At 47.7% G+C, this 20545-nt stretch overlaps 1 annotated feature.

The window, feature by feature from the left end:
* Nucleotides 12373–12542: an enhancer, noted in NCBI's record as "experimental_91454 CRE fragment used in MPRA reporter constructs". NCBI's record gives its function as "activates a minimal promoter by MPRAs in K562 erythroleukemia cells, with activity observed for both the introgressed and non-introgressed 6:33530346 variant alleles {active_cell/tissue: K562}" and the evidence as "EXISTENCE:reporter gene assay evidence [ECO:0000049][PMID:34662402]".

A 20545-nucleotide genomic window follows, 5' to 3' on the forward strand; every position in this document is an offset into this window, starting at 1 on the left:
TCCTCCTGGCTCAGCCTCCTGAGCAGCTGGGACAACCTCATGACTGATTCTTATCTGTTAAAAGAGGGCAGTTCTGAGGGATCTCAGCTACAGTTGTGTGTTGCTTAATGATGGGGATACATTCTCAGAAACGCATTGTTTTATTTTATTTATTTATTTATTTTTAGATGGACTCTTGCTCTGTTGCCCAGGCTGGAGTGCAGTGTCTTGATCTCGGCTCATTGTGACCTCCGCCTCCTGGGTTCAAGCGATTCTCCTGCTTCAGCCTCCCAAGTAGCTGGGATTACAGGTGTGCGCCACCACGCCTGGCTAATTTTTGTATTTTTAGTAGAAACGGGATTTTGTCATGTTGGCCAGGCTGGTCTCGAACTCCTGACCTCAGTTGATCCACCCACCTCTGCCTCCCAAAGTGCTGGGATTACAGGTGTGAGCCACTGCTCCCAGCCCCGAGAAATGCAGTGTTAAGCAAATCAGTTGTCCTACCAACATTATGGAGTACACTTATACAAACCTAGCTAGTATAGTCTACTACACACCTAGACTATTATGGTAAACCTGTTGCTCCAAGGCTACAAACCTGTATAGCATGTGACTACTAAATACTGAATATAGGCGGGGCACGGTGGCTCACGCTTGTAATCCCAGCACTTTGGGAAGCCAAGGCAGGTGGATCATCTGAGATCAGGAGTTTGAGACCAGCCTGGCCAACATGGTGAAACCCGTCTCTACTAAAAATACAAATAATAATAATAATACAAAAAATTAGCTGGGTGTGGTGGCACACACCTGGAATCCCAGCTACTGGGGAGGTTGAGGCACGATAGTCGCTTGAACTCAGCAGGTGGAGGTTGCAGTGAGTTGAGATCAAGCGACTTCCTCTAGCCTGGGCAACAGAGGGAGACTCTGTCTCAAAAAAAAAAAAAAAAAAAAAAAAAAAAAAGCTGGGCATGGTGGCTCATGCCTGTAATCCCAACACTTTGGGAGGCCGAGGCAGGTGAATCACGAGGTCGGGAGTTTGAGACCAGCCTAGCCAACACGGTGAAACCCTGTCTCTGCTAAAAATACAAACATTAGCTGGGCGTGGTGGCGGGCGCCTGTAATCCCAGCTGCTCGGAAAGCTGAGACAGGAGAATGGCTTGAACCCGGGAGGCGGAGGCAGAGGTTGCAGTGAGCTGAGATCGTGCCGCTGTACTCCAGACTCCAGCCGGGGCGACAGTGAGAGACTCTGTCTTAAAAAAAAAAAAACAAAAACAGAAAGAAAGAAAGCTTAGAGCTAATTTTATAGGGCAAGGAAGGATACATGATGTTAGAATGTGCATTTTTTTTTCCATTCTGTTAATCTTCCCCCTCCCACTTTGCTATCTTTGTTTTCCCCTTGCCTTATCTTTCTTGTTTTGTTTTAAAGGTATTGCAAACAGCATAAATCCTTTTAGAGACAAATTTGCACAACCATTTCCCTAGTGTTTTTCCTTACTATCCTAATCTTTGGTTAATTGAGATTTTGCCAGGAATTAACATCTTTTAGCATCAAATACTTTTGTTTGTGTGTGTGTGGTTTTTTCTTTTTGTTTTGAGAAGAGTCTCTCTCTGCTGCCCAGGCAGGAATGCAGTGGTGCAATCACAGCTCTGTGCAGCCTCGACTGCCAGGCTGAAGCAATCCTCCTACCTCAGCCTCCCAAGTAACTGGGACCACGGGTTCATGCCACCAGCCTGGCTAATTTTTTAAAAATTCTGATAGAGACTGGGTCTCACTATATTGCTCAGGCTGATCCTGAATTCCTGGGCTCAAGCAATCCACCAGCCCTTGGCCTTCCAAAGTTCTGGAATTGGCCGAATGTGGTGGCTCATGCCTGTAATACTAGTACTTTGGGAGACGGAGGTGGGAGGATTGAGTCCAGGGGTTCAAGACCAGCATGGGCAACGTGGCGAAAACCCTTCTCTACAACAACAAATTAGCCGGGCGTGGTGGTGCACACGTATAGTCCCAGCTACTCGGGAGGCTAAGATTGAGAGGTCAAGGCTGCAGTGAGCCAAGATCGCACCACTACACTGCAGCCTGGGTGACAGAGTGAGACCCTGTCTCAAAAAAAAAAAAAGTGCTGGGATTGCAGGTGTGAGCTACTGCATCTGGCCTAAAGTATTTTTTTTATTTCGATTTTACTATTATATAAGCCAAATTTCTAAATACTGGACCAAGAGAAAGACCATTGAAAGAGTAAGCATTGAAGCTTGTGGGTGCTGTGGAATATAGAGGTGATAACCAAAAAGAGCAAGACCAAAACTCCATCTCAAAAAAAAAAAAAAAAAAAAAAAAAGATGCATGAGCAAGCACAGTCAGCAAATTTATTTACTTTATTTCATGCCAGGTACTTGCTAAGCCCTTCATTGGATCCTACCCTCAAACTACTCTGACAAAATGTGTATGTATGTATTTGTTTATTTTAGACAGAGTCTCGCTTTGTCGCCCAGGCTGGAGTGCAGTGGCTCGATCTCAGCTCACTGCAACCTCCGCCTCCCGGGTTCAAGCGATTCTCCTGCCTCAGCCTCCTGAGTAGCTGGGACTACAGGCGTGTGCCACTATTCCTGGCTAATTTTTGTATTTTTAATAGAGATGTGGTTTCACCATGTTGCCCAGGCTGGTCTCGAACTCCTGACCTCAAGAGATCCACCCACCTTGAGCTCCCAAAGTGCTGGGATTACAGGCCTGAGCCACTGCGCCCGGCCAAAATGTGTATTCTTACAAAAGTTAAGGCCTGGAAGGTGGCTCAGCCCTATAATCTCAGCACTTTGGGAGGCGGAGGTGGGAGAATCTTTTGAGCCCAGGAGTTCAAGATCAGCCCTGGCAACAGAGTGAGACCTCATCTCCAAAAAAATTGAAAAAAATTAGCTGGGCATGATGGCACTCGCCTGTAATCCCAGCTACCTGGAAGGCTGAGGCAGGAGAATTGCTTAAATCCGGGAGGCAGAGATGGCAGTGAGCCAAAATTGCAGCATTGCACTCCAGCCTGGGTGACACAGCCAGACTCTGTCTCAAAAAAAAAAAAAAAAAGAGAGACAGTGTCTTACTCTGTCACCCAGGCTGGAGTACAGTGGCACAATCACAGCTCACTGCAGCCTCAACCTCCTGGGCTCAAGCCTTCCCCCCACCTCAACCTGAGGAGTAGTTGGGACTGCAGTCGCGCACCACACATGCCTGGCTAATTTTTGTATTTTCTGTAGAGACAGAGTTTCATGATGTTACCTAGGCTGATCTCGAACTCCTGAGCTCCACTGATCCTCCCACCTCAGCCTCCCAAAGTGCTGGGATTACAGGCTTGCACCACTGCCCCTAGCCTAAATTAATCTTCAATTAATGTTGTAAGCTTAAAAACAGATCTTCTTATGTTTTTAAGTTTAACTTCCATATCCTGATATTCTATTTAGAAATCTTGCAGGTTTTGGATAAAAGTAAGAGTAATAACTTGTTCTTTGATTAATACACAATTAGCCCATGGGCTTGACATATTTAATTTGCTTGAACATTACTCATAGCATTTACAAACTTAGTTAATTAAATTCTCTTAAATATTTAAACTACATTTACAAATTTAATATACTTGATTTTTTTCCCAACCACTTCCAATTCCTCAGGGTAGATTTACAAGTCAAACAAGAAGGAAGTATTCAGCATGTAAATAATTCTCATAAACCTAATAATTCAGACTCTTAAATGTGGCAAGTCAAGTTATCTTGAAGATTCCAGCCCGGGGATAGTGGCTCATGCTTGTAATCCCAGCACTTTGGGAGGCCCAGGCAGGCAGATGACGAGGTCAAGAAATCGAGACCATCCTGGCCAACATGGTGAAACCCTGTCTCTACTAAAAATACAAAAATTAGCTGGGCGTGGTGGTGCGCACCTGTAGTCCCAGCTACTCGAGAGGCTGAAGCAGGAGAATCACTTGAACCCAGGAGGCAGAGATTGCAGTGAGCTGAGATCACGCCACTGCACACCAGCCTGCGACAGAGCAAGACTCCGTCTCAAAAAAACAAAACAAACCAAACACACACACAGAATATCTCAGTCTTCCAAAATCTCTTTTCTAACCTTTACATTAAAAAAGTAACATTATGGGCCGGGCACGGTGGCTAATGCCTGTAATCCCAACACTTTGGGAGGCCAAGGCGGGTGGATCACGAGGTCACAAGTTTAAGACCAGCCTGGCCAAGATGGTGAAACCCCATCTCTACTAAAAATAAAAAAATTAGCTGGGCGCAATGGCAGGCACCTGTAATCCCAGCTACTCGGGAGGCTGAGGCAGGAGAATCGCTCGAACCCGGTAAGCAGAGGTTGCAGTGAGCCGAGACCTCGCCATTGCACTCGAGCCTGGGCAACAAAGCGAGACTCTGTCTCAAAAGAAAAAAAAAAGTAACATTATGCTGGGCTCAGGGCTGTGTGCCTGTAGTCCCAGCTTAAAAAAAAGAAAAAAATCTTGTGTTTTTTTTTATTTGATCATTTCTATTTTCCTTCCCAAAGTAATAAAGTACTTTTAGTTCATATTTTTCTTGCCATAATTCTACAATGGTCTTATTGATTTGCCCCTACAACTAAAAAGAAGTCTGATAATTACCTAAATGAATTTTAAAGTTACCTTTTTTCTTTCCTTAGAGACAGGGTCTCCTTTTGCTGCCTAGGCTGGAGCGCTGTGACAGGATCATAGCTCACTGTAACCTTGAACTCCTGGGCTGAAGGGGTTCCTCCCACCTCAGCCTCCCAAGTAGCTAGTACTACAGGCGTGCACCATCATGCTCGGCTAAGTAAAAAAAAATTTTTTTGTAAAGATGGGGTCTCACTGTGTTGCCAAGGCTGGTCTCAAACTCCCAGCCTAAAGGGATCCTCCTACCTCGGCCTCCCAAAGTGCTGGGATTATAGGTGTGATCCACTGACCTCAGCCTAGTTTACATTTAGAAATTTACATTTCTAAAAAAAAAAAAAAATCTCAGAGTCTCTTCTTAGAAAGTGGGAGAAGGGGCCAGGCGTGGTGTCTCATGCCTGTAATCCCAGCACTTTGGGAGGTCAAGGCGGGCAATTCACCTGAGGTCAGGTGTTCGAGACCAGCTTGGTCCAACATGGTGAAACCCCGTCTCTACTAAAAATACAAAAATTAGCCGGGCATAGTGGCATGCACCTGTAATCCCAGCTCTTCAGGAGGCTGAAGCAAGATAATTGCTTGAACCTGGGAGGCAGATGTTGCAGTGAGCCAAGATAGTGTCACTGCACTCCAGCCTGGGCAACAGAGCAAGACTCCATCTCAAAAAAAAAAAAAAGAAAGTGGGAGAAGGGAGGCGTTTTTTGTTTTTGTTTTTGTTTTTAAGTAGTGCAGTGTCACAGTCTCAGCTCACTGCAACCTCTGCCTCCTGGGTTCAAGCGATTCTTTCTCCTGCCTCAGCCTCCAGAGTAGCTGGGATTACAGGCGTCTGCCACCACACCCAGCTAATTTTTGTGTATTTAGTAGAGATGGGGTTTCTCCATGTTGACCAGGCTGGTCTCAAATTCCTGACCTCAAGTGATCCACCCATCTTGACCTCCCAAAGTGCTGGGATTACAGGCGTGAGCCGCTGCGCCCAGCTGGGAAGGGAGGCATATCTGAGAGGGAGTATCGTGAAAAGGAAGAAAAATGTCTTCAAAAAGACACCCTCTCCTTGCTCTTGTTTTGCTCTTGTTGCCCAGGCTGGAGTGCAATGGTGCGATCTCGGCTCAGCGCAACCTCCGCCTCCCGGGTTCAAGCAATTCTCCTGCCTCAGCCTCCCAAATAGCTGGGATTACAGGCATGTGCCACCACGCCCTGCTAATTTTGTATTTTTAGTAGAGATGGGGTTTCTCCACGTTGGTCATGCTGGTCTTGAACTCCCGACCTCAGGTGATTTGCCTGCCTTGACCTCTTAAAGTGCTGGGATTACAGGCCACCATGCCAGTCCTGTTTCCTGTTTTCAAAAATAGAAATAGTATGTACAACTGTCTCTTTTGTTTAAAGGATATGTTAAGGAGTATAAGAAAAACTTAAATAATCATTTATTTACGCAGATTTTATTTATTTATTTATGTTTTTGAAATATAGCCTCAGCCAGGTGCGGTGGCTTACACCTGTAATCCCAGCACTTTGGGAGGCCGAGGCGGGCGGATCACGAGGTCAGGAGTTTGAGACCAGCCCGGCCAACATGGTGAAACCCTGTCTCTACTAAAAATACAAAAATTAGCTGGGCATGTTGGGGGGCTTCTGTAATCCCAGCTACTTGGGAGGCTGAGGCAGGAGAATTGCTTGAAACCAGAAAGTGGAGGTTGCAGTGAGCTCAGATTGCTGCCACTGCACTCCAGCCTGGGCAACACAAGAGAAACTCTGCCTCAAAAAAAAAAAAAGAAAGAAAGAAAGTCTCACTTTGTCATCCAGGCTAGAGTGCAGTGGTACTGCAGTGGTGCAACCTCCGCCTCCTGGACTCAAGCAATCCTCCTACCTCAGCCTCCTGAGTAGCTAGGAATACAGGTATGTGCCACCATGCCTGGCTAATTTGTGTGTGTGTGTGTGTGTGTGTGTGTGTGTGTATGTGTATATATATATATATATATATATATATATATATATATGTATATATTTGTCATACATATATATTTGGTAGAGACATGGGTTTCACCATGTTGGCCAGGCTGGTCTGGAACTCCTGACCTCAAGTGACCTGCCCACCTCAGCTTCCCAAAGTGCTGGGCTTATAGGCGTGAGCCACCATGCCCGGCCCATTATTTTTATTTATTTTTTATTTTTATTAATTTTTTTTTCTGACTCTGCTCAGAAAGAATGCTAGCAGGTTTGATGCCAGCAGATGATTAAACAAGTGCTTTCGTGTTTGCACTTGTTTGCACTTCCTCTCCTGCTTGCGTGCAATTGTCATGAAAACATGCTCAGTCTAACCTGAGTCATATCTGGGCCAGCTAGCTGGAGGGATGTGAGAGAGACACATGGAGGGAACCCCAGCTGTGCAGGGGAGGCCATCCTATACCAGCCAGGTCCCAGGGAGTCCTCAATCACCTGATTAAAGATGCATGAGTGCAGCCAGGCATGGTGGCTCACGCCTGTAATCCCAGCACTTTGGGAGGCCAAGGAGGGCGGATCACCCGAGGTCGGGAGTTCAAGACCAGCCGACCAACATGGGGAAACCCTGTCTCTACTAAAAATACAAAATTAGCCAGGTGTGGTGGCGCATGCCTGTAATCCCAGCTACTCGGGAGGCTGAGGCAGGAGAATCCCTTAAACCCAGGAGATGGAGTTTGCAGTGAGCCGAGATCGCACCATTGCACTGCAGCCTGGGCAACAAGAGCAAAACTCTGTCTCAAAAAAAAAGAAAGAAAGAAAGAAAAAAGATGCATGAACAAGCCCAGTCAGCGGAACTGCTCAGTTGACATTGGCTGGAAGAAATCATAAATGGTTTTATGACCACTGTAATTGCCCACCTGGGTTCTTCCTGCCTGCTGCCCAGAAAAGCCAAACACGGAGAACACCAGGAATTGCAGTAGAGAAAGTTTAATCACAGGGCCAACCAGGCTGAAGGATGGAAGATGTTTATCAAATCTGCTTCCCTGAGAATTTGGAATCCAGGGATTTTTAAGGATAGTTTGGTGGGCAGGGGGCTAGGGAATGGGAAATGCTGATTGGTTGGGTTGGGAATGAAATCGTAGGGGGATGAAGCTGTCTTCTTATGCTGAATCAATTCCTATAGGGGTCAGAAACCTACTGTGTCAGTTTATTGGTAAAGGTTACTGGTTTGGGCAGTGTCAGCTGGTCCATCAGAATGCAGGGTCTGAAAAATACCTCAAGCACTAGTCCTAGGATTTACAATAGTAATGTTATCCATAGGAGCAATTGAGAAAGTTACAAACCTTGTAACCTCTAGCTGCATGACTCCCAAACCATAATTCTAACCTTGTGCCCATTTTTTTTTTTACAAAGGCAGTTTCAAGCCTGGGCAACATGATGAAACCTGTCTCTACAAAATATACAAAAATTAGCCAGGCATCATGGCACCTGGGACCTGTGGTCCCAGCTACTGGGGAGGCTGAGACAGGAGGACCGCTTGAGCCTCAGAGGTGGAGGTTGCAGTGAGCTGAGATAATGCCACTGAAACTCCAGCCTGGGTGACAGAACAAGACCCTGTCTCAAAAACAACATCAGTGGCTGGGCGTGGTGGCTTACACCTGTAATCCCAGCACTTCGGGAGGCCGAGGTGGGCAAATCGCCTGTGCTCAAGAGTTTAAGACCACCCTGAGCAACATGGGGAAACCCTGTCTCTACTAAAACACAAAATATTAGTCAGGCATGGTGGAGGCACATGCCTGTAATCCCAGCTACTCGGGAGGCTGAGGTAGGAGAATCATTTGAACCCAGGTTGCGGTGAGCCGAGATCGCACCATTGCACACTCCAGCCTGGTCAACAAGAGCAAAACTCCCGCCAGGCATGGTGGCTTATGCCTGTAATCCCAGCACTTTGGGAGGCCGAGGTGGGCAGATCACAAGGTCAGGAGATCAAGACCATCCTGGCTAACACGGTGAAACCCTGTCTCTACTAAAAATACAAAAATTAGCCGGGCATGGTGGTGGCCGCCTGTAGTCCCAGTTACTTGGAGAGACTGAGGCAAGAGAATGGCGTGAAGCCGGGAGGCGGAGTGCAGTGATCCGAGACCATGCCACTGCACTCCAGCCTGGGTGACAGAGCGAGAGTCCGTCTCAAAAAAAGAAAGAAAGAAAGAAAGAAAATATACCAAACGAACTTGTAGATTTGAGCAAAGAAATCTCCAGTCAGAATGTTGAAAGTGTCCATTGGCTTTTACCATCTGTGTTTGATAAAGTTTTCTTTCTTTTTTTTTTTTTGACACAGAGTCTTGCTCTCTTGCCAGGGCTGGAGTGCAATGGCACGATCTAGGCTCAACCTCCGCCTCCCGGGTTCAAGTGATTCTCCTGCCTCAGCCTCCTGAGTATCTGGGATTACAGGTGCATGTCACAACGCCCAGCTAATTTTTGTATTTTTTTTAGTAAAGATGGGGTTTCCCCATGTTGGCCAGGCTGGTCTTGAACTCCTGACCTCAGGTGATCCACCTGCCTGGGCCTCCCAAAGTGTTGGGATTACAGGCGTGAGCCACCATGCCCAGCCCTTGATAACGTTTTCTAAGCTGGATCCATGGCTCATGTCTGTAATCCCAACACTTGTGGAGGCCAAGGCAGGAGGATCCTTTGAGGCTAGGAGTTCGAAACTAGTCTGGCCCATGTAGACAGATCTCATCTGTACAAAAAAAATTTTAAAATTAGCCAGGCATGCTGGCAGGTTCCTGTGGTTACAGGTACTCCGGAGGCTGAGGTGGGAGGATTACTTGAGCCTAGGAGGTCAAGGCTGCAGTGAACCATGATCGTGCCTCTGTACTCCAGCCTGGGTGACCCCATCTCAAAAAATTTTTTTACAAGAGGTGAGCTAAAGAGATGAACTAGTCAATTTGCAAGCTGAATTCAGAGGAAATGTGGAGGGTGCAGCATTTTCTGGGTTGGAAAAACAAAATTACTTCCCTGCTGGGCCTGGTCATTCACACCTGTAATCCCAGCACTTTGGGAGGCTGAGACAGGCAGATCACTTGAGGTCCGGAGTTCCAGACCAGCCTGGTCAACATGATGAAACCCCGTCTCTACTAAAAATACAAAAATTAGCTGGGTGTGGTAGCATGCCCCTGTAGTCCCAGCTACTCAGAAGGCTGAGGCAGGAGAATCACTTGAACCTGGGAAGTAGAGGTTACGGTGAGCTGAGATCTCACCACCGTACTCCAGCCTGGGTGACAGAGCAAGACTGTCTCAAGAGAAAATTTATTTCTCATTTCTAGCCTCTTAGCCCAGTAAAGAAATGCACTCTAGGGCATGGCTGAAGACTGTTAAATTCTCTGGGAATATCAAGACAGTGCCTAGTAGACCCTCTGACAAAAGGACATCTGTGAATTTTAAAAGCATGACTCCCACAGCACCCTCACACAGTTAGTTGATACCTAGTTAGTGGAGACTTAAGTCAACAAAGAAACATATCTCGAGAAAATTTGGGGTGTGGTTCTTGATGCATAAGGTGGACTCTAATCATACAGATATACTCAAAACTCCAAAGTTTTTAAGGATATTGCACCCACAACCGCACTGCTAATCTAGACACAAAGGGGCTGAGACTGTTCAAACTGTACAAAGACCTCTGGGTTGCCTGCTTTCCATCAGGAGGAAGGAAGCTGAGAAAGCATCTCAGCCACCATCAAAGCCTGCCTCGGCCGGGCGAGGTGGCTCACGCCTGTAATCCCAGCACTTTGGAAGGCCAAGGGGGGTGGATCACCTGAGGTCAGGAGTTCGAGACCAGCCTGACCAACATGGTGAAAATACTAAAAATACAAAATTAGCTGGGCGTGGTGGTAGGCGCCTGTAATCTCAGCTACTCGGGAGGCTGAGGCAGGAGAATCGCTTGAACCTGGGAGATGGAGGTTGCAGTGAGCTGAGATTGTGCCATTGCACTCCAGCCTGGGTGACAAAGCAAGATTCCATCTCAAAAACAAAAAAAAGAAAGTACCACATCTAGGCCTGATATAGATCACAAGATCCTGGACTTTCACCCTAATGTCAGGATTGGATGAGTCTTTTGGGGGTCCTGCAATGGGGAATGAGCATATTTTGCATATAGAAAAAACATAAGTAATCGTGTCTAGAGAGGCCAGGTGTGGTGGCTCATGCCTGTAATCCCAGCACTTTGCAGGATGGAGGCAGAAGGATCGCTTGAGGCCAGGAGTTTGAGACCAGCCTGGGCAACATTTTGTAGAGACCTTGTCTCTACAAAAGATTTAAATAAAAAATTAGCTGGGCGTGGTGGCACGCACTTGTGGTCCCAGCTACTCAGGTGGCTAAAGTGGAAGGATCACTTGAACGCAGGAGTTCGAGGCTGCAGTAAGCTGTGATACCTTCGCGGCACTCCAGCGTCCGCAACAGAGTGAGACCCTGTCTCGGAAAAAAAAAAAAATCCTGTGGCCAGAGGGCAGACTGTGGTATATTGATTGCATTAATGGCTCCGAGTCTTCACCCCTCCCTGTCTCCACACCCTTTGCCGTGTGAATTTGCAATTTCTTCCTTTTTTTTTTTTTTTTTTTTCCGAGATGGAGTCTCGCTCTGTCACCCAGGCTGGAGCGCAGTGGTGCGATCTTGGCTCACTGCAAGCTCCGCCTCCCGGGTTCACGCCATTCTTCTGCCCCAGCGTCTCCGAGTAGCTGGGACTACAGGCGCCCGCCACCACGCCCGGCTAATTTTTTGTATTTTTGGTAGAGACGGGGTTTCACCGTGGTCTAGATCTCCTGACCTTGTGATCTGCCCGCCTCGGCCTCCCAAAGTGCTGGGATTACAAGCGTGAGCCACCGCGCCCGGCAATTTCTTTCATAATAGAAGTAGAGTCTATTTCCCCACCTTCTTGAAGAATCTGAGCTTAGCCATGTGACTTGCTTTAGCCATTACGATGTTAGCTGACTTGACACAAGTAGAGGTTTGAAAAACTGGCCGGACGCAGTGGTTCACGCCTGTAATCCCAGCACTTTGGGAGGCTGAGGCGGGCGGATTACCTGAGTTCGGGAGTTGGAGACCAGCCTGACCAACAAGGAGAAACCCCATCTCTACTAAAAATACAAAACAATTAGCTGGGCATGGTGGCGCATGCCTGTAATCCCAGCAACTCCGGAGGCTGAGGCAGAAGAATCATTTGAACCCTGAAGGCCGAGGTTGCGGTGAGCCGAGATCGCGCCATTGCACTCCAGCCTGGGCAACAAGAGCGAAACTCCGTCTCAAAAAAAGAAAAAGAAAAACCACCTGTGTGTTTCTGCTTCTTCTCTTGCTCCTCGGTGATCACCATGAGAACACACCCAGAACATTCCCAGGTTGACCTGCTGAAGGGACATGAATGACACATGGAAGAAAGCTGACTTGTTTCAGCTGAGGCTATCCTAGACAACCCTCAGCTGACTACAAAGTTTTTTTTCAGACGGTGTCTTTTTTTTTTTTTTTTTTTTTTTTTTTTTGAGACAGGGTCTCACTCCATTGCCCAGGCTGGAGTGCAGGGGCTGGATCACAACTCACTACAGCCTCAACCTCCCACGCTCACTCAAGTGAGGCTTCCACCTCAGCCTCCCAAGTAGCTTGGATTAGGAGCCACCACCCTGCACAGCTAAACTTCAATTTCTTTATCTGCTAAATGGGCATACTGCAAAAACTTGTGAAAATTAAATAAGATAAAGTAGATAAACAGTATAGTGCAGTAGCAGGCACACATAGTACAAACTCAACAAAGTCCCTAGCTATTTTCTTTTTCTTTTCTTTTTTTCTGAAACAGGGTCTTACTCTGTCACCCAGGCTGGAGTGCAGTGGTGTGATTATGACTCACTTCAACCTCTGCTTCCTGGGCTCAAGCAATCCTCCCACCTCCACCTCTTGAGTAGCTGGGACCTCAGGCACGTGCCACCACACCGTGCTAATTTTATTTATTTATTTATTTATTTATTTATTTATTTATGTTTTGAGATGGAGCCTCACTCTGTCACCCAGACTGGAGCGCAGTGGTGCGATCTCAGCTCACCACAACCTCCGCCTCCCAGGTTCAAGCGATTCTCCTGCCTCAGCCTCCTGAGTAGCTGGGATTACAGGCGCATGCCACCGTGCCTGGCTAATTGTGTGTGTGTGTGTGTGTATTTTTAGTAGAGATGGGGTTTCGCCATGTTGACCAGGCTGGTCTTGAACTCCTGATCTCAGGTGATACACCTGCCTCAGCCTCCCAAAGTGCTGGGATTACAGGCTTGAGCCACTGCACCCGGCTATTTTTGTATGTTTTTTAAGAGACAGGGTCTCCCTATGTTGCCCAGGCTGGTCTAGAACTCCTGGGCTCAAGCCATTCACCCACCTCAGCCTCCCAAAGTGCTGAGATTATAGGTGTGAGCCACCGCACCCAGACTTTTTTCTTTCTTTCTTTCTTTCTTTTTTTTTCTGTAGAGACAGGGTTCCCTATGTTGCCCAGGCTGGTCTCTCAGGTGATCAGCCCACCTCAGCCTCCCAAAGTGCTGGAAATACAGGCATGAACCACCATGCCCAGTCCCTATTTTCTTTTCTTTCTTTTTTTTTCTTTTTTGAGATGGAGTCTCACTCTGTTGCCCAGGCTAGAGTGCAATGGTGCCATCTTGGCTCACTGCAACCTCCGCTTCCCGGGTTCAAGCAATTCTCCTGCCTCAGCCTCCCAAGTAGCTGGGATTACAGGTGCACACCACCACGCCCGGGTAATTTTTGTATTTTTAGTGGAGACGGGGTTTCACCTTGTTGGTCAAGCTGGTCTGAAACTCCTGACCTCAGGTGATCCACCTACCTCGGCCTCCCAAAGTGCTGGGATTACAGGTGTGAGCCACCGCGCCCAGCCTATTTTCTTTATATTAAAATATTTTTGGCTGGGCATGGTGGCCTGCACTTGTTATCCCAGTACTTTGGGAGGCTGAGGTGGGAGGATTGCTTGAGTATAGGAGGTCAAGACCAGCCTGGCCAACATCAGGAGACCCCATCTCTATAAAAAATTTAACCAGCCAGGTGAGGTGGCTCAAGCCTGTAATCCCAGCACTTTGGGAGGCCGAGATGTGTGGACCACGAGGGCAGGAGTTTGAGACCAGCCTGGCCAACATGGTGAAACCCCCGTCTCTACTAAAAATACAAAAATTAGCTGGGCGTGGTGGCGGGCACCTGTAATCCCAGCTACTCAGGAGACTAAGGCAGGAGAATTGCTTTAACCTGGGAGGCAGAGGTTTCGGTAAGACAAGACTGCACCATTGCATGCCAGTCTGGGTGACAGAGAGAGACTCCATCTAAAAAAAAAAAAAAAAAATAGCATGCCACCACCCATGGTTAAATTTTTTTTTCACAAAGGCGGTAAGTGGCAAAGCTTGGATTTGCACCCAAATATTTGGTGTCTTTAACCACTTGGATGTCAGATTACAGCAACTAGAAGCCATTTCTTTCTTTTCTTTCTTTTTTTTTTTTTTTGAGACAGAGTTTCACTCTTGTTGCCCAGGCTGGAGTGCAATGGTGTGATGTGATCTTGGCTCACCGCAATCTCTGCCTCCCAGGTTCAAGCGATTCTCCTGCCTCAGACTCCCGAGTAGCTGGGATTACAGGCATTCACCACCATGTCCGGATAATTTTTGTATTTTTAGTAAAGACAGAGGTTTCACCATGTCGGTCAGGCTGGTCTCGAACTCCTGACCTCATGATCTACCCCCCTCGGCCTCCCAAAATTCTGGGATTACAGGCGTGAGCCACCACGCCTGGCTGCTAATTTTTGCCCCACTAATTTTTGCCTCAGGAGGCTGAGGCAGGAGGATTGCTTAAGCCCAGGAGGTCAAGGCTGCAGTGAGCCTTGATTGCACTCCAGCCTTGGCGATAGAGAAAGACCCTGTCTCCAAAAAAATAATACTAATAATAATTGCTGGGTGCGGGGGCTCACGTGGCCTGTAATCCCTGCACTTTGGGAGGCTGAGGCGGGCAGATCACCTGAGGTTGGGAGATCGAGACCAGCCTGACCAACATGGAGAAACCCTGTCTCTACTAAAAATACAAAATTAGCTGGGTGTGGTGGTGCATGCCTGTAATGCCAGCTACTCGGGAGGCTGAGGCAGGAGAATCGCTTGAACCCGGGAAGTGGAGTTTGGAGTGAGCCAAGATTGTGCCATTGCACTCCAGCCTATGCAACAAGAGCAAACTCTGTCAAAAACAAAAACACACACAACAGATACACTCAGAGATTGTGCCCTCAAGTCATATACTGCACATGACAAGTACAAATACCGGAGCTAAATCCTAATACTCTCCCCATTCTATTTGAGTTTGTTTATTGAGGCTTCAAGGCACTCAATAAATGTTTGCTGAATGAATGAAAGAAAGCCAGAATTCTCATTTGATTTCATATTAGAGGAATTGGCCCTAAAACTATTTAAGAGGCAGACTTGAACTTATACACAGGTCCCACAACTTAAGCCATGTCAAAGGACAACATTATAACAAATTTAGCTTAAAGATCTCAGTTGGCATTATTTTCGATTCTAGAATCAGGCAACACTTCATTCCGTAAAATAGAATAAATGTTCCATGAGCTCAGCAGAAGATGTTGCCTTTTTTTTTTGAGATGGAGTCTTACTCTGTCACCCAGGCCAGAGTGCAGTGGCGTGATCTCGGTTCACTGCAACCTCTGTCTCCTGGGTTCAAGCGAAGTTCAGGCGACTCTCCTGCCTCAGCCTCCTAAGTAGCTGGAATTATAGGTGTGTGCCACCATGTCCAGCTAATTTTTGTATTTTTAGTAGAGACGGGGTTTCACCATGTTGGCCAGGCTGGTCTCGAACTCCTGACCTCGGGTGATCCACCCACCTTGGCCTCCCTAAGTGTTGGGATTACAGGCGTGAGCCACCGCACCTGGACTGAAGTTGGTTTTATAAACACAGAAGAGCTGAAGAAAGCAGAAGTAAGGAAGAATGTATTAAGTTACTTTTCAAAGTTTTTTTTTTCTTTCTTTTTTTTTTTGAGATGGAGTTTCGCTCCAGGCTTTGTTGCCCAGGCTGGAGTGCAATGGCACAGTCTTGGCTCACCGCAACCTCCGCCTCCCGGGTTCAAGCGATTCTCCTGCCTCAGCCTCCCGCATAGCTGGGATTACAGGCATGCGCTACTACGCCCAGCTAATTTTGTATTTTTAGTAGAGACAGGGTTTCTCCATGTTGGTCAGGCTGGTCTTAAACTCCCAACCTCAGGTGATCCGTTCACCTTGGCTTCCCAAAGTGCTGGGATTACAGGCGTCAGCCACCACGCCTGGCCTTCTTTTTCTTTTTCTTAGAGACAGGGTCTTGCTTTGTTGCCCAGTCTGGTCTCAAACTCCTGACCTCAAGCAATCCTCCTACCTCAGCCTCCCAAAGTGCTGGGATTATAGGTGTGAGGCACCACCCAGACTTCAAAGTTATTTTTTTCTTGTAAGGTGGGGGAAAGGGACGCAAAACAATTGGAAAAACAACTGATTAGTTAACATCGGGTCTCTTCAGGTTCTTTAAGCCTTTTTTTTGTTTAAGGATTAAAACAGAACTTCATTATCATGTGGTTAAAGATTTAAACTGATCTTTTTGAGAAATTGGCTGTTATCTCTCTCTCCTTATTTTTCAGAATGTCGGATAACAACTTAGTTTAGCATGGGTGACTCCATCTTGAGTTTTAGTTCTATCTGTTTTGACCTAGTGCAGTCCCGTCCCTCCCTCCTTCCCTCCCTCCCTCCCTCCCTCCCTTCCTTCTCTCCCTCTCTCTCTCCCTCCCTTCCTTCCCCCGTTCCTCCCTCCCTCGCTCCCTTCCACCATTTGTCTCATTCTGTCGCCCAGGCTGGAGTGCAGTGGCACAATCACGGCTCATTGCAGCCTTGAACTCCTGGGCTCAAGCCTTCCTCCCCCTCAGTCCTAGCTAGGACTATAGGCGTGTGCCACCATGTGTGACTAATGTTTTTTTTTTTTTTTTTTTTGGTAGACAAGGGGGGGTCTCACTGTGTTGCCTAGGCTGATGGCTTTCTATAATTTTTATTTAATAAATGAAATGCTGTTTCCAACTCAACAAGGCCATTAACTGGCCAATGAGTGGATCAGATCCCAAGGGCCATTGGTGGTGAGAAGGGGAGAGACTGACCCACAGGGAATTATCATTGGATGTTAAGAAATGGGAAAGCACATTGAAACAGAAAGGAGATGAGTCAGAGGAGACATTCCAGGGGAGAAGCAGATCCTGTAAAATGTCCTGTGGGTTGAGAGGAGGAGAGAGGTGGAAGGAGCTCGGGAGAGCCCAGAGTGGTGCCTGGACCATCCGGCTGTAGCAAAGGCAAGAGTCAGAAAAAAGTCTGGAAAGCCACTGAGAAGGCCTTGAGTGCCTGCCTGAACATGATGAGTTTGTTCAAGGAAATGGTTTATGTGTCCCCTCCTGAAAAGCCTCCCTGGGTACTCCCAGACCAGGCCAACCTGGCACATTTTTTCTGGGGCACCAAATTCCCTGCGTCCCACTCAGATTACTGCTTGATGCCTCCTCCTCCATGGCTATGTAAGCTGCCTGAGGGCAGACCCTTCAACACTCCTGTGCTCCTACCAGGGATGGGCAAGGAGGAGGCGAATGTAATGAATATCATGCACCTCATGGATTTTCAGTGGGGATCAAGACGATGTTTTGTGAAACCAGTTTGGTCGTGGTGGTGGTGGTGGTGTGCTGGGGACACTTTGAACTGGGGGGGACCTAAGGCAGGGCCATTACCAAAAAACCTAGAAGTTAAGAATATACCCCACAGCCTTGGCAGTGGCAATGGGAAGGCAGAGATGGGCAGCTAAGGAGTGACCGTCTACAGGAGCGGCCTCTGACTCAGGGTGGCCATGAGCAGAGGAAGGCACAGTGGCTTCAGAGACTGGTGAGCAGCAAGGAAGAGAAATTCATGTAAGGCACGGACCTGCCTCCTCCCTGCCCAACGTTGTGTGCTTTCAGCTCTTCCTCCTCTACCCTCTACAAGTTACTTTTCCCACTGGACAGCACCCTTCGGGGTCTCTCTGTCAGGCACCTGGGTTTGAGACAAATTCCACAGCGTGACACAGCCTAGGAATAGGCTTTACTGGGGGAAGAGAAGACAACAAATCATCAAGAGAAGCAGCATGGGTTCCTTGACCCTCCTCTCATCACCCTCCCCACCCTGCTGGGGGTGGGGGTTTGCCGCGAGGGTGGGGAGGGCCCCGAGCCAGAGCAGCCGAGCGCTCTTCCAGTGTGCATTCCAGTGGGAGGGCCTTCCTGCCATCACGCTGCCTTTGTGTAGAGCTGGCATGAAAAAGCAGCTTTGTCAGTGGAGGTACCCCAGGCTGCTTGGCACCATGCAGTCTAGATTTGGGGTGCCAGCCCATTACAGGAGCTGTCTGAGAACACCAGCATTTGAACACCCTAGTCCTGTAGACATCGCAGTGCCTCCCACTGGTGGAGGGGGCTGGGGAGACGGAAAAGCATGCATGGAATACTCAGAAGAATCCCCAGTCTCCTGGTGAACTGAGCGTGGATGTGCCCCCTCTTGCCAGGAAAAGGAAGGGCTATTCCTAGTTAGCGCATTCTGCAGGCCACCCAGAATGAAAGTCCAAGCTCACGTTAAGACACTCATCCGGCCGGGCGCGGTGGCTCACGCCTGTAATCCAAGCACTTTGGGAGGCTGAGGGGCGGATCAGTTGTCAAGGGTTCAAGACCAGCCAGGCCAACATGACGAAACCCCGTCTCTACTAAAAATACAAAAATTAGCCTGGCGTGGTAGAGTGAGCCTGTAATCCCAGCTGGAGGCTGAGGCAGGAGAATCGCTTGAACCCAGGAGGCAGAGGTTGCAGTGAGCCGAGATTGTGCCACTGGACTCCAGTCTGGGCAACAGAGTGAGATTCCATCTCAAAAAAAAAAAAAAAAAAAGACACTCACCCATTCTACTAGGCATTACAAGCAGGGGGATCCCCCATGCCCTTACCAGGACAGCACTCGGCTTTTAACCTGCCCACAGCCCCTCTCACACATAGCCTGGTAGTAGTGTTATTTAGGTTCCTGCAAATCTGTTTTTTTTTTTTTTTTTTAGCAGACATGGTAACCAACATCGAAGTGCCTCTTGCACTCTAATTCACAGCTTCCAAATTTCAGAGACACCAGACATGCCAAATGCATCTTGCCTTTCCTCAGTATGGCCCACCTGAGACTTTAGCAAAAAAATATTCACACACTTGAGGAAGCCTAACCATCCGCTGGAAATTAACTGGATAAGCTGCCCTCAGTGGGGTCAGAGGTCAGCTTAGAGCAGGTCAGGTTAGAACATGAGAAGGTTGGTGAGCCCAGCCCCACACAGCTATCACAAAAGTCTGTGCCATGAACTTCACAAAGTAGGTTCACCTCAAGGTTCAGTGGAGCCTTCAGTGTGTCCTTAGCCAAAGCTGTTTGGAAAAAATTGTGACATTGGACACCAGGAATGATTCCAAGATTGCAAAGGAAGAGTTGAGATAAATGGAGCTAAGAGATGTATTGATTCATACTTTGATTCCAACAACCCATGCCCACTCACATGTTACTCACCAGATGCCACATACACACTTAGCCACACGCACGTTCACACTCTCACATGCATCCATTTGGTGCCTGCCCACGTCCATTGCCAAATCCCATACTCCAGGTAAAGGGAGGTTGTATGGTTTCAGTCTCTTCAGCTATGAAGTGGCCTTTCCTAGAAAAGTCCAGTTTTTGCCTGTTAGTCCATCACCTGATCTTGGTAATGGGGGCGGGGTGCCCCTTCATTGGATCACTCATAAAATATGCCAGGGATCTGCTTCAGTAGGCCAAATCATTACTTTTTGTTCTCTCTCTTTTTTTTTTGAGACAGAGTTTCACTCTTGTTGCCCAGGCTAGAGTGCAATGGCACTATCTCAGCTCACTGCAACCTCTGCCTCCCGAGTTCAAGCGATTCTCCTGCCTCAGCCTCCACAGTAGCTGGAATTAGAGGCATGCACCACCATGCCCGGCTAATTTTTTGTATTTTTAGTAGAGACAGGGTTTCTCGATGTTGGTCAGGCCGATCTCGAACTCCTGACCTCATGATCTGCCCACCTTGGCCTCCCAAAGTGCTGGGATTCAGGCATGAGCCACTGCGCCCAGCCTGTTGTATTATTTTCTAGTGAACTGAATCCCCTGTCCTCTCACGTCTTACTTTTATATCCCAGGAGTCCAGTGTTCACCTTTAACGTGTCCAGCAACAGCTCAACACACCCCAGGAGAAGCTGGGTTTTGCTGATTCTGGTTCCTGACCTTTGGGCACCTCCAGCAACCTTCAATAACTCCCTTCTCTTTCTCTCTCTCCACACACACACACACGCATGCATGCACGCACACATACACACGCATGCACGCACGCACACACACACACGAAATCATGATTATCCTTATCTGTTCAGCTCAGATAGAATTAAATCCACATTTGGGCCTCGCACTGTGGCTCACGCCTGTAATCCTAGAACTTTGGGAGGCCAAGGTGGGCAGATCATGAGGTCAGGAGTTCGAGACCAGCCTGGCCAGAATGGTGAAACGCCGTCTCTACTAAAAATACAACAACAACAAAAAAAATTAGCCGGGCATGGTGGCGCGTGCCTGTAGTCTCAGCTACTCGGGAGGCTAAGGCAGGAGAATCGCTTGAACCCGGGAGGCGGAGGTTGTAGTGAGCCGAGATTGTGCCACTGCACTCCATCCAACCTAGGTGACAGAGCGAGACTCTGTCTCAAAAAAAAAAAAAAAATTAAATCCACATTTTACAAGCATCTTACAAAATGGGGCCTCTACATCTGAAGTGCATACAACTGGAGCAGGAGGGGTACATTTTTGTCACGGGTGAAAAAACAAAACAAAAACAAAAAAAACTAGTGGATATGGTGGTTTAAGTTTAA

Source organism: Homo sapiens, chromosome 6 (genome assembly GCF_000001405.40).
Source record: "Homo sapiens chromosome 6, GRCh38.p14 Primary Assembly".
Lineage (NCBI taxonomy): Eukaryota > Metazoa > Chordata > Mammalia > Primates > Hominidae > Homo > Homo sapiens.